The sequence below is a fragment of the Homo sapiens genome, chromosome 4, assembly GCF_000001405.40.
Source record: "Homo sapiens chromosome 4, GRCh38.p14 Primary Assembly".
NCBI lineage: Eukaryota > Metazoa > Chordata > Mammalia > Primates > Hominidae > Homo > Homo sapiens.
This window is the reverse complement of record NC_000004.12, coordinates 29764881-29780692: the sequence shown is the minus strand read 5'-3', so window position 1 is coordinate 29780692 and position 15812 is coordinate 29764881.

The window sequence follows — 15812 nt, the reverse complement described above, 5'->3', positions numbered from 1 at the left end:
CTCTGTTCCATTTGTATGAATAGAAGTTACACTTCTTCAGAGTGAAAAAACAGTGGCTCTGGCATGTGAAAGTTAGCACACTTGTCCTACCTAAGTTCATGGACGACAATCACCAAATTTTTGGCTAATTCATTCTCGTAGTAGAATGGTCCCAAGATCTGCAGTCATTTCAAGATGCTTTTTATTCAGTGTGATGAGCTTCCAAGTACTTGTTAATAGTTTAAGGACATGTGAATCCATGAAGACTGGAAAAAAATGTATATTTTCATATAATCTTTTATAAAGAACATTTGAAAAGATTGTGTTTTAGGATTTTTGTTCCAGATCTAGTTTAGACACTTATTAGCTGTTTCAATTTGAACAAGATACGTGATGTACTGGAGTTTCATTTTCTGTACTAGTATATAGAAGATGAGGATGCTTCCTAGAATATGGGGATGCTGTTAGAATTCAACAATTTAAGTCAAGTAAAAAAACCTTGTACATTTTAAAGAATATATACATGGTGGTCATTACTATATTGAAAATATTGATTTTAAGAACTACACAAAGTCATTATTTTCAGAAAAAAATCAAATAAATAGAGAAGACACAAGGGAAAGCATAGTAAATATTGTTATATAGCCAAAGATTCCATACATAAAATATCCCAGTAATCTGCTTTCTCTGAACTGAAATTCAGTTAGTCACATGTGGATATTTAAAGATCTTACAGGTATAAAGTGCTCTTGAGGATGTGCCAAATCACAATTTAAAAAATCCTTCTGGAGAAGAAAACTGAATAAATAGAAAAAATGGAAAAGTACAAAGAGAAGAAAATAAAATAAGAAATGGGTAAAAAAAAAAAGTAGATATTGACTCAATATTTATAAAGAAAGCAAAAGAGATGAGATGCAGAAGGTCTAGCCAAAAATCTCCTTGTGACCGCTTATTGCTTTAAAATGAGAGAAATATTCTATTAAAGTTTATAAATATTAGAATAAGCAGTAAGCAATAGAATAAGTTTGAAATACTAGACAGGCAGCTGATACTTAGTTCTCAAGGTCTAGCCCTCTATTGAGTCATTGGTGAATAGTGGAGAAGAATTTGTTCTTTCCATTACAAAGAAGCAAACATCCTTCTCAAGCTTGTAGTTTCTCAAGCTACATTTTGTGCTCAATTATTACTTATGACTTTTAAAAGAGTTAGCTGGAAGTGAAAAAACTTTTTTCTATAGCAGCTGTAGTCATCCAGGAAAAATTAAAATGTTCACTTAGTCTTAGAGACAAAGCCCATGTTGATATTAAATTAGGATTTTCAAATGGAGTGAAAAATTTTTTGGCAAAAACTTGAGCAGTGAAATTATGTTGACCTTCACTGAGAAGAAATATTGAGTCCAAACTCCCTAAATGTTAACTTTTGAACCAAATTAGTGTTTAGAATGATTATAATAATTTGATGTTTCTGCTAATAGTTTTTGTATAACAGCAGCATATTTGACCTTTTTAAAATGTCAGAAATAATATTTAATATTAATATGCTCTTCAGCCACTTTAAACACTCAGGTAATATTTAATATTAAAAATAATAATCTTGATATTTGTACTCAAAATGTCATCATATATTGCTGAAGGATGATTCAATGTCTCTCTAAAATTGATGAATTCAAATATTCCTTCCACAAAGTGGTTTAGGAATTGGAATGGATAAAAGTAATTTATTTTTGTAGAAATCAAGTAGACTGTACTCAACATAAAGTGAAGTGCAATGAAGCCCATTTACATTAATGCAGTTTTTATTGTGGGTATAATGGTAGTTTAGAACATGAATAGTTGGAAAGAAAAATCTATCTTAGTGTTGACATCCGAGCCCCTAAGTAAAAAATTCAGGGAATGCTTGTAACAATGAAGCTTAGGAGAATATTAGTTGTCTTAGTCCATTTTCTGTGGCCTTAACAGAATACCACAGATGGGGTAATTTAGAAGCAATAGAAGTTTATTTTGTCTTACAGTTCTGGAGGCAGAGAGGGTCAAGATTTGGCAGCTAAATCTAGTCGGCTTCAGGTGAGGGCCTTGTGCTCAGTCATCACATAGAAGAGAAATAGCAGGGAAAGCAGTCATGCAACAGGATCAAAACACGAGCAACAGCCTAGCCTTATAATACTCTGCTTTCTAGGTCACTAATCCAGTCCCAGGAGTGTGAGAACCCACACGTTCCTGCAGAATTAACCCAGTCCTGTGAGAGTGACATTATTCCCTCTTAACAACCTAATCAACTCCCTACACCACCACACAGGGGAATGAATTCCCAGCGTGTGAATTCTGGAGGCACACTCAAACCACGACACTAGTTAAGATAAAATTTCAAGTAATTTTGTCTTTATGTAAACAATATATTGAATTTTTGTTTCACTAACTGTCACCATAAACTGCAGTTGTACATCTATAGCTAGAATCAGTTGGAAAATTTTTAATAATATGGTTCATTTGAGCACCCATCTTTATCTTATTTGAATACTACTTTAAATGGCAAGCAATTTACACGAACATTTTTTAAGGGATTCGTGCAAAATAAATACAAATGTTTCTCTTAGATACCTGACATATAAACATACATTTTTTTTTTAAAGAAAACAGCCTATGAACTATTCTGCCTACTACTATAACTTTATATCAGGAAATATCCATGTGGTGTTTATATACCTCTTTTGCGGTCTTGTGGGTAAGAATATTAACCACTCTCTCTCAGAGTGTTTGTGAAGATTAAATGAAGACATTCATGGTCAACACTTGATATATGGCTTGGTCAATAACAGATGCTCCAGGCCGGACGCCGGTGTCTCACGCCTGTAATCCCAGCACTTTGGGAGGCCAAGGCAGGAGGATCATGAGGTCAAGAGATCGAGACCATCACGGCCAACATGGTGAAACCCCGTCTCTACTAAAAATACAAAATTTAGCCAGGCGTGGCGGGCGCCTGTAGTCCCAGCTACTCGGGAGGCTGAGGCAGGAGAACGGCGTGAACCCGGGAGGCGGAGCTTGTAGTGAGCCGAGATCGCGCCACTGCACTCCAGCCTGGGCGACAGTGCGAGACTCTGTCTCAAAAATAATAATCATAAATGCTACATAGAAGAAGCAAAAAATTTTTTGAGAGGCAGTGTTGACTACTTAAAAGAGTTTAAGCATGGAGTGACACACAGCTGGTATTTGCAGCCATCTTTAGAAATTACTGATAGTATGATTTAAGTAACACAATAGGATTATATTTTACAAAAAAATAATGATTTCAATTATAGTATGAACAACTGTGCTGAAGAAGGTTTTGTGATCATTAGTATTGTTCACTATTCTTTTGGGTTCTTCTTCTGGGAATACTATAGCACTTCACTTTTCTATCCATGAAATATGAGTGAAATAATGCCAGCCACTTCTAGAAGAAGACGTTACGAGCTAAGACACAACTGAACACTTTCCCTTCCCTTGTTATTGACTGCAATGCTTCTTATTTTTGGAGATTTTAAGAGTGAATTTCTGAATAAAGAATATGTGGAAGAAGTTAATTTCTATTAGCATGCTGGTTCAAACATTTGTGGAGTTCTCTTAAGGCCTGGGTGGTAGCCAGCCAGAAACTTGATGTTGAAGATAAGAAAAATGGCAAACACTGCTGTTAGTAGAAACTATTCTATGATGTGTTGGCAGAAGCTCCTGGTTGTGATGATTACCCTCAGGAACAAATTTGGTCACTCATAGGATGAACTCAAAAACAAAAGTTTAAAAATGGAGAGGGTTTCTGTTAGCTGCAGTTGGCAAGTAATTCTAGTAAATGGTAGTTGCTAAAAGTAATTAGCTAATGAGCAAACAAGAATAAAAAGGAATAGAGAGATTCCCTGAATTCGGGGATCTTTAGCATTCAAAAAGGCAGCAGATTCTTAACCCTAAAAGACAAAATAATTAAAGATTGGAGTTAGAAACAATAATTTAAATTTAGATTTCAGGTAATGGCTAAATTAAGGATATTAAGTAAGAAACCTACTTATAGGACGCAGAATTAGGAAACTACTCATTTTTTTTTCTTTTATGAATCAGAAAGGTTTGGGATATTATATTAATGTTTTACCATACAATGTTCTACCACTGTAATTTGTATGGTGGGAGAGGCAAGCAAACATGCAAATATCCTAACTTTTAGTTTATGGGTTTCTTATGTTCCCTAGAAATCTTGAAATTTCATCTTCATCCTGTGAATGAGTAGGGATTTGGATTATTACTCCTGTGTTTGGTAAGAATCAATTTTATTATATAAAGAAATGAGACCCAAATAATTGTTGAAAAATAAAGTATACATTAGAAAATTGCACTTTTCCACTGAGGAGTTCGTTATGTGGACCAAAAAATATGAACGAAAGTGGTATAAATTATTGCCAGGCAGAAGCTGACTGTGCATGGTTTTTTATGGTCCCCCCCTTCCTTTTACAGGGTGGTGATATGCTAAGTGTTGAAGCCTTTGTGCTTTGGTGTCCTGAAGTGAGGTTTACAGAGATCAGGATGAACCACAAATACAGCATGGACAGAACGTATACATGAGAAGTAAGCTCTTATTTATTTATATTAGTAAAATATCTGGTTATATTTTACAATGACATAACCTACCTCATTCTGTCTCAACGTGGGAAACAAAAGGAGACAAAACAAAAACAAAACAAATTTATGAGTATATTAAAATAAATAAGCCAGAGATAGGGTAGCCAACTAGAGTGATGGCTATATGAAAAGCAGCAAAGTTATCTAAGATGCAAAATTTGATAAAATGTAGTAATCTTTTGGAGGTAGGAGAATAAACATAGAGTCAAATGCAATATTTGAATTTATTGCTCAGATAGTTGCAGGTTAAAACTATCTAGAGAAAAAAAAAACAGAAAACATTTGAGGCATAGAAGGTGAGTGGAGGTTTGTGTTTTTGTAATTTTAGCTATCGTAGAAATATTTAGAAGACAGTTGGATATAAATTTAAAACTCAAGAAGGACAACTGTGTTAATAATGCATATCTGAGAGTCATTATTTTGATCATGGCAGTTAAGATGCAATAATTTAGCCAAGAAAACTGTGTAGGAGGAGATAAGAAGCAGATAGCCAGGAGGAAAATAAAAGCATTTATAAGGAAGCTGAAGAGTAAGCTTAGTGGCAGGAGAAAAAGCATAATAATCTGGACCACAGAACCAAACAATAAGAATATTTCATAAAAGCAAGGTGAGTTCACAGTCAGATGCTCCTGCAGGTTAAACAACGTAAGATGAGGTGGGCTTTGGGCTTTGTAGTTTGCCACATAGAGACCATAAATGTCCTTAATGAGAGCTCTTTTAATAGAGTGCTGTTGATGTTAATTGTGTTTAAAGAGTAACAGGGAATGTAAGAAAGTAGAAACAATAAGTGGTGGGCAACCCTCTCACACAGTTAAGCTATTCCAACAAGCCAGGTATACCATGTTACGTGGACTGAGTTACAGGTCAGGAGTAAGATTTTGTAATAAATTCATTTTTATCTTCTATAAGAAGAGAGGCTTAAACATGTTTAAATAATTGGATGAAGTAACCAGAAGTGAGGGACTGAAGACAGCACAAATAGGTACAAAGGGCTTCTAGAAAGAAGGATCCAGAGCGCTGGTAAAATTATTTATTTTACATAATACCAAGACTATATCTTTCCTCCAAACAGAAGTGGAGGACAAAAAGATGAATGCATAATTTTTTTATGTTTCTTGGGAAGGTGAAAATAATTTGAAAGATTATTTTCAGTTTCTATTTTCTCTTTGAAGTAAAAGGGAAGGTCATTGGTTCAGACTGAGTCAGTAATGGCCAAGTTGCATGTTTTGGTTTAAAATAGTGAGTAGGAAATCTATAAAAATACCCAGGTCATACTGAGGGATTATTCAAGGCGGAAATAATTTGAGATTTTTCTCTAGCAGTTTTAGGACTCCTGAGTATTAATGCAAATGATGCAGTTAATTTTTACTAGGGTTGTGACTGTACTAGACCAGTAAAACATGAGGTCACCAAGAGAAGGGATTCAATCATGTTAGACATTGAGCTTCAGAAGTGATAAATTAAGGGGTCTAAACAGGTTATAAAAGAAAGGAGCGAGTAACAGAAAGTACAAAAGTGAAGTGATTGAATAACTAAGTCTAATTATAGTCATAACCATACTTATGAGGGAAATATTTAAAGATATAGGAGGCTGTGGCACAGAAGGTTATTTTTGTTTGAAATTTTTAGATTTATATCATCACTGTTATGTTTGTGTGTAGATTCAGAATGTGTAATTTAGAATTGTATCTGAAGTACGATCAGACAAGATCAGACACAGAAATTCAGGTAACTTGCTGAAGATGTTTGTGAACTGCCAATAAAGAAGTTGGCTTTGGGGTTGATGCCATCTGTTTTTTAACCACTGTCTGCAACTTTCTATCCATAAGTTTACACATGGTTAAACTGTCACTAAAAAGATATTTATGAAAATCTGGCAAGGTGTTTAGAGAAAGAAACAATTGAAGTTAGCGAACATAAAGAATCATAAGAAATAAACTAGAAATTTGAAGGATGATTCTATACCCTAAAGAAAACAGCACTGAGTATTTATTCTCGGAATTATATACAAGTAATTTTTAGAGACCATCTTTCAGGATATTGTTTTTTTTTTTTTTTTTTTTTTCATTTGTTTGTCTCCCTTAGTCGCCCAGGCTGGAGTGCAATCGTGCCATCATGGCTCACTGCATCCTCCGCCTCCCGGGATAAAGCAATTCTCCCACCTCAGCCTCCCAAGTAGCTGGGATTACAGGCACCAGCTGTCATGCCAGGCTTTTTATTTATTTATTTATTTATTTATTTATTTATTTATTTATTTATTTTTGTAGAGACGGAGTTTCACCATGTTGGCCAGGCTGTTGCTGAGCTCCTGACCTCAGGTGATCTGCCCTCCTCGGACTCCCAAAGTGCTGGGATTACAGGCATGAGCCACCGCGCACAGGCATTCAACATACTTTTATTTCCATATATTTTTGTCAAACCTTTCAGTAATTTTTCTTTAGTGTCCTTTCCTTTAGTAATCTCTTTTCCCTTAAATTATAGATAATATTTCACTTCGTTCTCTGGGAAAAATATATAGAGATAAAGTTTAAAAATGGGTAATTTTTTACTGTACCTAAATTTGGGCTTTGGTAAGTTGCAAGATATCACACAAAATATTGCCAAATTCTGAAGATCAGGTATAATAACAGAGATCACTTTTATCAGAACACTTAAATAATGTATTTAGTCTGCACAAAATAAAATGTTAGCATTCAAGAAAATGAAAAGTTCAAACCTAACATATTTTACAAGAAGATCATTCCATCACTATTAGACTAAAAAAGGTCTAATATTTAATGGTAATTCTAATGGTCCAGTCTGAAATAAACACAACCTTATCTTTTTAGTTACAAAAAGTAAATATTTATTAACTCGCAAAAAGTTTAGAAAATTAAAACTTTTTCTATAATATTTTTCATCTGGCTTGATAGATATAAACAAAGCTAAAAGTAAAAACTTTTTGTGAGTTAATTTTCACTTCAGTTCAATAAACATTTATCGAGGAGCTAATAAGCCATGTCTGATATGACGCAATGCTAAAATCAGTAAGATATCGGACCTCAAGGAGTTGGTAGTCTAATGGAGGAGAAAGACACCTGTTCAGTTGGCTATACTAAAGAAATATAGTTTTCTCAGACCTAAGGGGAGGAATTAATGTTGACTGAGATAATAGGGCAATGCATCATGGAGCAGGTTACAGGACATTTGAACAATTAGTGTTGTTGAATATTATGAGTGCAGATAAAGCAAGTATGAAATACAGAGCTAAATTTGTAGTTGTGACACAGCATATCCAGAAACTTTTAACAAATATATATCTTCTCAAATTATAAAGTGAAAAAGATTCAGCAGAAGTCTGCCTAAAAGTACATGTGCCCACACATGCACGCATGCACACACACACACACACATACACACCAGATTCTATACCACTTCTCAGAAATATCAGAGAAACCACTTTACATATACCTAACACATATTTCCCTAAATGAAGTTTTGTTGTAAGGAAAGGATTCATTACTAAAAAATTGTACATAGGTTTTTTTTTTTTAATATATATACTCTAAGTTCTGGGATACATGTGCACAACGTGCAGGTTTGTTATATAGGTGTACATGTGCCATGGTGGTTTGCTGAACCCATCAACACGTCATCTACATTAGGTATTTCCCCTAATTCTATCCCTCCCCTAGCACCTCATCCCTTGATAGGCCCCGGTGTGTGACGTTCCTCCCCGTGTCCATGTGTTCTCATTGTTCAGCTCCCACTTATGAGTGAGAACATGTGGTGTTTGGTTTTCTGTTCTTGTGTTAGTTTGCTGAGAATGATGGTTTCCAGCTTAATCCATTTCCTGCAAAGGACACAAACTCATCCTTTTTATAGCTGCATAGTATTCCATGGTGTATATATGCCACATTTTCTTTATCCAGTCTATCATTGATGGCCATTTGGGTTGGTTCCAAGTCTTTATAATAAAAACTTTTATTATATTTATTTTATTATATCATATCATTCATTATATCTAGTTTATTAATAAATTTTATTATACCTATCAAGCAGATGCAAACTATTTTGAAAAATTGTATATAAAAGTTTACTTTTATCATTATTTATATCTTAATAACTTAATAGTGTAAAAAGAAATATGCACAATCGTTCTAAAGTACATTTTATTACATGAATAGTGAATTTGGTAGAAAGATATTTCATCTTGGATATGACTCTAGGTTTTATTTTGAAAATGAGTAAAAATACCTTGATATTATGTTGCACCCTTTTGGAAGATTTTAGTATAGCTCTGGGATATGTTTCAACTTTTTAAATGCATGATGATTATCAATGATGTACAAATATAACACTAGTACATTCTAAACTACAATCATGCTAATAGTCATTATATAAATACATAAGAATCATAGATTTTCTTTTATAATTACTGCAGACGAAAATGGAATTGTTCTCCCATCACCCAACTAGAAATTTCGTTCAATTTGTTTTCATCACAAAGATTACAAATGACAGATGACAGTGACCATCAGGGGAAAATTGAATAAAATTATCAGATGCGAAGTGTTAGAAGAAGAAAAGTGCAAATAGGAGAGACCTGTGTATTTAGCCTAGCTAAGCCTGGGGCAATAAGACTAATGTCCAAACATGAAAAGGCAAACTGGGGAGATAATAGTCATAATCAAAATTACTGACAGTAAGGGTTATACAAAAAATTCACAATGAAAGCAATTTTCAAAGAGGTGACATTCATTAAATAGTTTGCTCTTTGGAAGCATAAATCCAAATCATGGCCAAATAAAAAATCATTTTATTCAATCAATAAGTGCAGTAATTAGTATATTATAAAATGTATTTATTTTTATGCTTATGGTATGTGTGAGACCTGGATACTGTAAGCTTCATGTGAGTAAAGATATTTCTTCCTCTAAGGCATCACTTTATATCCTGTTTCTCTCATCTGTCTCCCGGTTCTGGTGACTTGATCCATTGCCTGCTGTAACCAATTCTGTGTGGTCACTGGCAAACTTCATTTGTACACACCCATGGTATAATCCTCTCATGTTCTACAACAGATATTCCCTGTTGATAGATAGATTCATTCCAGGCATGAATGTTTGTCTGGAATTGCAGGTTGACAGGGCAATGCTATGTATTTAGAAGGAGTGATGAAGTGGAGGGATGGAATCTGGTTTCAGAGATAGATGGGATCCTGTGGAGAAATTTCTTTTCTTCTGTAACCTAGCAGGGAAGTACTGAGAAGCGGCTGTTTACATGGTTTATTAAACACTTCAAAAAATGTGCGAGTCATCACCATGTTGGCTCTTTTATGTGTCCTCTTCCTGCCTCTGTTCTCTGAAATTTCATTCTCTAAAACACATTTAATATTTGCTTTAGGTTCTGCCCTGGAACTAGGCTAAAATGTGTGATGACCTGTAAAGCTCAGAAAAGTAAAAGGAGTTTACTTTCCTTTTTCAGGAAAGGAACTTTGCGTGGGACTGTCTTCATAGCCTTGGTGAAGACTACATGACTGAACCCATACCAATCAATGAATTATGCCTCTCGACACACAGCAAAAACATATTTTCTGTTAAGACTTATATCCCCCTGACATAATGTGTACATTCACACATGCTCTTGCCCTCTCTCTCTATCTCATATTACTGCCACTAGACTATATACTCAATGAGGCCAGAATATTTTATACATTCTTCACTGTTACAACTCTAACACCCAGAACACAGTACAGAATATATAAATAAAAGAATTCATTTACTGAGGAGATACTGTGTGCCAGGTACTCTTCTAGGTTTGGGGAAAAATATTACTAAGTAAATAAAACAGACAAATATACTTTCCTCATGGAGTTTATGTTCTGTTTAGGTAAAATGTGCAATAAACAAAGAAATAAGCGTGTGTGTGTGTGTGCACGCATGTGTATTTACATCTGTATATATGTTACATAGATACAAAATTTAAATATAACAATTATATATATGATAGTGAGAAGTACAATATGGAGTAAATAAAACAGGGAAGGGGATAAGGAGTATCTGAGGAGGAAGGACTAGATATTAATAAGTTAATTTGAATAAGTACATGGGTAAATAAATTATTGACTCAGGGATGGTCAAACTATGCTGGGTACTGTCTTTCTCCTGGTCTTGAATTTGAGTAGATAAGATATCATCACAGAACTGCTGGCCATCAACCAGAGTCTTCCGGGGGAATCTACCTGAGGTCCCACCCATCATTGAGGGAAATGGAAATGGAGATAGCAAGCATAAGTCTCGATGATATAATATCAATCACTGGACCTAAATCCAGTATTATTTTTATGATATCTTTGGTTATATGAACCAATAAATATTGTTTGTTTTTAAAGAGGCTGGAGTTGAATTTTCTATCATTTATAACTGAAAAAGTTCAACTAAGACGAATAAAAAAGTTCTAAGTCTGAATGCTTATTTCTTAAAACTTTAAGGGTACAATTTATGAAGAGTCAGACACACCTAAAATGGTATTGTGGCTACAAACTGTAATTTATAAAAAAGAGTGCAGTTAAGAAAATTTAAATCCTATCACATTTTTGCATCACTGAAATTCCATTATTTCTTTTATTTTTAATCTTCTCTACTTAGTATTTATCTTTTACTATGTCTTTTTTTAGTTTTCCACATCTATCCATCCATCTGTGTAATTAATCATGGTTGCAATATCTTTCTTTAAAAACAAATACATAAAGTCTTTTCAAAATTTTACAGATTTTTTTACCAAGCAGAAAAAATATTGAAAAATATCAGTTCATTTAAAATAGAAACATAAAGGCAGTAACAAATATAAATTATTTGAAAATAAATAAATATAATACATGCAAACTTTTAAAAAAATGTGTCAAAATAAAAACTGGTTCAGAAAATAGGATTATTTGGAAGAGAGGTCAGCATGATGGTGAAATAAGAAGGCCCAGCTCTTGTTCTTCTACAGAACTCAGTGTGAAAATGATATACAGCCCCAAATACCTTTATGATGAGTCCAGAGTCCACTTAAGAACCAGTAGAACCCAGAATGAACATAAAACCAAGAAGAGCAGCATTGAAACAGATAAGAAGGGCAATTTTACTTTACCTGCATCAATCCAAACTGGCACAGATAAACGCTTATTGCTTCAGCATGTGACTTCCTCTGCTGGAAGAAAGAGAGAATGGAGCATGCATCCAGACTTCTAGCCTTTCAGAGCACTCCTCGAAGATCCAGTTTCTGTCTCACCTCATACTGAGTACTGACAGAGACCAAACATTCCAGAGTAGAAACAAAGGAAAAGAGTCAGGTGGCTTTTTAAAGATATCATATCTGTGAGATTGAAAAAAGATTCAAAACTGTGGTTCTCCCTCAGGAGGGTGCAAGAGGAGAAGGATGTGTCTCCAATGTTTTTGACTGTTCACTGTACTTATTGAAGGGACTGGTTTCTGTACTGCCTCACACTAACTACTGCTGAGACTGCCATAGTCAGAGACCAGAGGAAACAAGAGATTGCCAGCTTCAGAGAGAGACAGAGAGAGAGGGAGAGAAACTGGATGCCTGGAACACCTAGGAACAATGGCCCAGAGTCTTTAGCTTGGCTGATCAGTAAAGAGTTTTCCCATCAAAGCCAGTCTATAATGACTGGGAAAGGTGGTTGTTTCTTTAAATACTCAGACACCAACACAAATGTATAAACAAATGAAGAATTAGAAAAAAAAGTGACACAAGCAAAGGAACAAAACTAATCTCTAGTAATTGACCCTAAAAAAAGGAAAGTCTATGAAATTTCTGAAAAATAATTCAAAATATCATCTTCAAGAAGCTCAGTGAGTTACAACGGGAAACAGATAAACAATAAAATAAAATTAGAAAAACAATAAATGAAAATTTAGAATATAAACAAAGAGACATAATTAAAAAGAACAAAATATAAATTCAAGAGCCAAACAATATAACTAAACTGAAAAATTCACTAGAGGGTTTCAGCAACAGACTTGATCAAGCAGAAAAAACAAACCAACCAACCCGAAACTTACTTGAAAATATTCAGTCGAAAAAAAATGTAAGAAATAAAAAAGAACAAAGAAAGCTTAAAGACTTACGGAACTCTCGCAAGTGAAACAACATATTTACTATGGAATTCAAGGAAGGAGAAGAGAGAAAGTGGGGGGAAATTATTTAAAGAAATTATGTCTGAAAACGTTTCAAATCTGTGGGGGGAGATAGACATTCAGAATTATGAAGCCAGAAGGAATCAGAAAGAAAGAATCCGAAGAAATATATACTGACCCATATTATAACCAAATCATTACATTCAAAGTAAAGACGGATTTTTGAAAGCAGCAAGAGAAAAGTGACTTGTCACATTTAAGGAGCAGATTTCTCCGCAGAAAACTTGCAGGCCAGAGGAGAGGGAGATGATATATTCAAAACACTAAAACCAAAACAAAAGCTGCCAAACAAGTACACTATATTCAGCAAACATGTTCAGAAATGAAAAAGTGATAATTTCTCAGGCAAACAAAAATTGATGAAGTTTATTATCACTAGGTGCAAGAAAAAGAAGTGATTATGCAAGAACAGAAAGTGGAACAAGAGGTTCATCAAGTTAAATGAAAGCATGCCACACAGCAATATGAAAGCATGCAAAAGTATAAAATTCACTGGTAAAGGTAATTATTTAATATATAGATAAATGCAATATACTGTAATACTGTAATGGTGACATGCAGATCATGTTTAATTTCAGTGTAAAAGTTAAAAAATATTAAGAATAACAACAACTAAATAATTTCATGATATTCAATATAAAATATGTAAATTTTGCCACCAATAACTTAAAATGTCAAGGGAGAGAGAAGCAAAATTGCAGGGTTTTTGTAAGTGATTAACTTTAAGTTGTTATCAGTTTAAAATAGACTGCTATAAACGTTTTATGTAAGCCTCATGCTAAGAGAAGAAAAAAAACTCTATTGGTATGAAGAGAAAAAAATGACAGAATTAAAGTATATCACTACAAAAAATCATTAAATCAAAAAGAAGACAGTAAGAGAGAAAGAGAAGGGAAAGTTAACTGCCAAAAAAGACAAAAAAAAATAAAAAAATGGCAATAATAAGTTTTTACCTACAAAGAATTACTTTAAATGTGAATGGATCCAACTCCACCAACAAAAGTAATGGAGCGGCTGAATAATAAAAACAAAATATTCAATATTATTGATTACAAGAAACTTGCATTAGATTTAATAATATACATGAGCTAAAACTGAAGGGATGGAAAAATATATTCCATGCAAATGGCAGCCAAAAGAGAACAGTAGTGACTATATCAGACAAGATAGACTTTAAATCAAAAACTGTAAAAAAGATACAGAGGAAGTCATTAGATATTGAGAAGAGGGTCAATTTATGAAAAAGAGAAAATTGTATTATGTATAAATATACAAAATTATATGTTATATAATTATATGTGCTAATATAATTATATATCATATATAAAATATGCATATTATACAATATAATTCAATATAAATATAATATATGCCTTATATTATATGTAATATAATTTATATTGAATTACATATTATAATTTATATTAAATATTTAATATACATATCACATATTATAAATACATATTTATATTTTACAATATTTAAAATATAAATATTATATATTAAATATATATTAAAATATAAATATTATGTATTAAAATATAATATTTAAAATAAATTGGCAAATCATTTTCTCTTTAAAAATAACAAAATTCTATCATATGTGACAAGATGAGAATGAACATAGAGGACTTTATGCTAAGTGAAATGTGAGATAAGCCATTAACAGAAGAAAAATAACTCCACTGTTTCGCTTATATGAGGTATCATATGTAGTCAAACTCATGGAAACAGAGGGGATAATCGTTCTTGCTAGGGATTGCAGGAAAGGGAAATGGAAGTCAGTTGTTCAAAAGATATGACGTTTCAGATATGTAAGATGATAAATTCTAGAGATTAACCATACAACATTGTGCCTATACTTAACAATATTGTACTGTGAACTGAAATTTTTAAGAGGGTAAATCTAGAATTGTTTTACCACAAGTTAAAATAAGAAAACAAAATGATAAAGCAAATAGAATTTGTGGAGTATGTTAAAATAAATTATAAGTTAATATAAATAATTAAAGGAACATTAGACTGAAAAAAGGCTTGAATTCTTTCTATGCCATTTTGTAGCTCGTGTGATGTTAGGTTACACCTTCCTCACAGGTAGTTGGAGAGTTAATAAGTCAATGAATGTAAAGTAATATCTTGTTAACAAATTTTGTTTCTTAGCCTTTAAAACTGATTGCATTGTTGAAATTATGCTTTGGTGCTTTTCCTCCACTGTTAAACATATTTCTCCATCGCTCATCAATTCTGTGTTTACTTTCTCCCTTTTTTTTTTTTTTTTCTTTTCTCAACTTTTATTTTTGGCTCAGGGAGAACATGTGCAGATTTGTTATATGGGTAAATAATATTGTTGCCCAGGTAGTGAACATAGTACCCTTTAGGTCGTTTTCTGACCCTCATTCTCTCCCCTCAGGTAGGCCTTGGTGTCTGTTATTCCCATCTTTCTGTCCATGTGTACTCAATGTTTAGTTTCCACTTTCAAGTGAGGACAAGAGGCATTTGGTTTTCTGATCCTGTGTTAACTTGCTTAAAATAATGGCCTCCAGCTGCATCCAGGTTGCTGCAAATGAGATTTTTTTTTCCTTTTTTTCTTATGGACTATTCCATGGCATATATGTATCATATTTTCTTTATCCTCTCCACTGTTGATGGACATCCAGGTTGAATTCATGTCCCTGCTATTGTGAATAGTGCTGCAATGAACATGTGGGTGCGTTATCATTTTGATAAAACCTTTATATTCCTTTGGGTATATACCCAATAATGAGATTGCTGGGTCAAATGGTAGTTTTGTTTTAAGTTCTTTGAGAAGTCTCCAATCTGCTTTGCACAGTGGTTTAACTAATTTACATTCCCACAAACAGTGCTATTACTTAAGTTATAATGTATGAAGCTGATGACATTGGAAATATTATAACAACATGAAAGTTTCTCACACTAGCTTTATCAAGTCATCTGTTTGCATAATGCCCTAGGAAGGCATTATAATAATTCTATGATATAAACTGTGGTA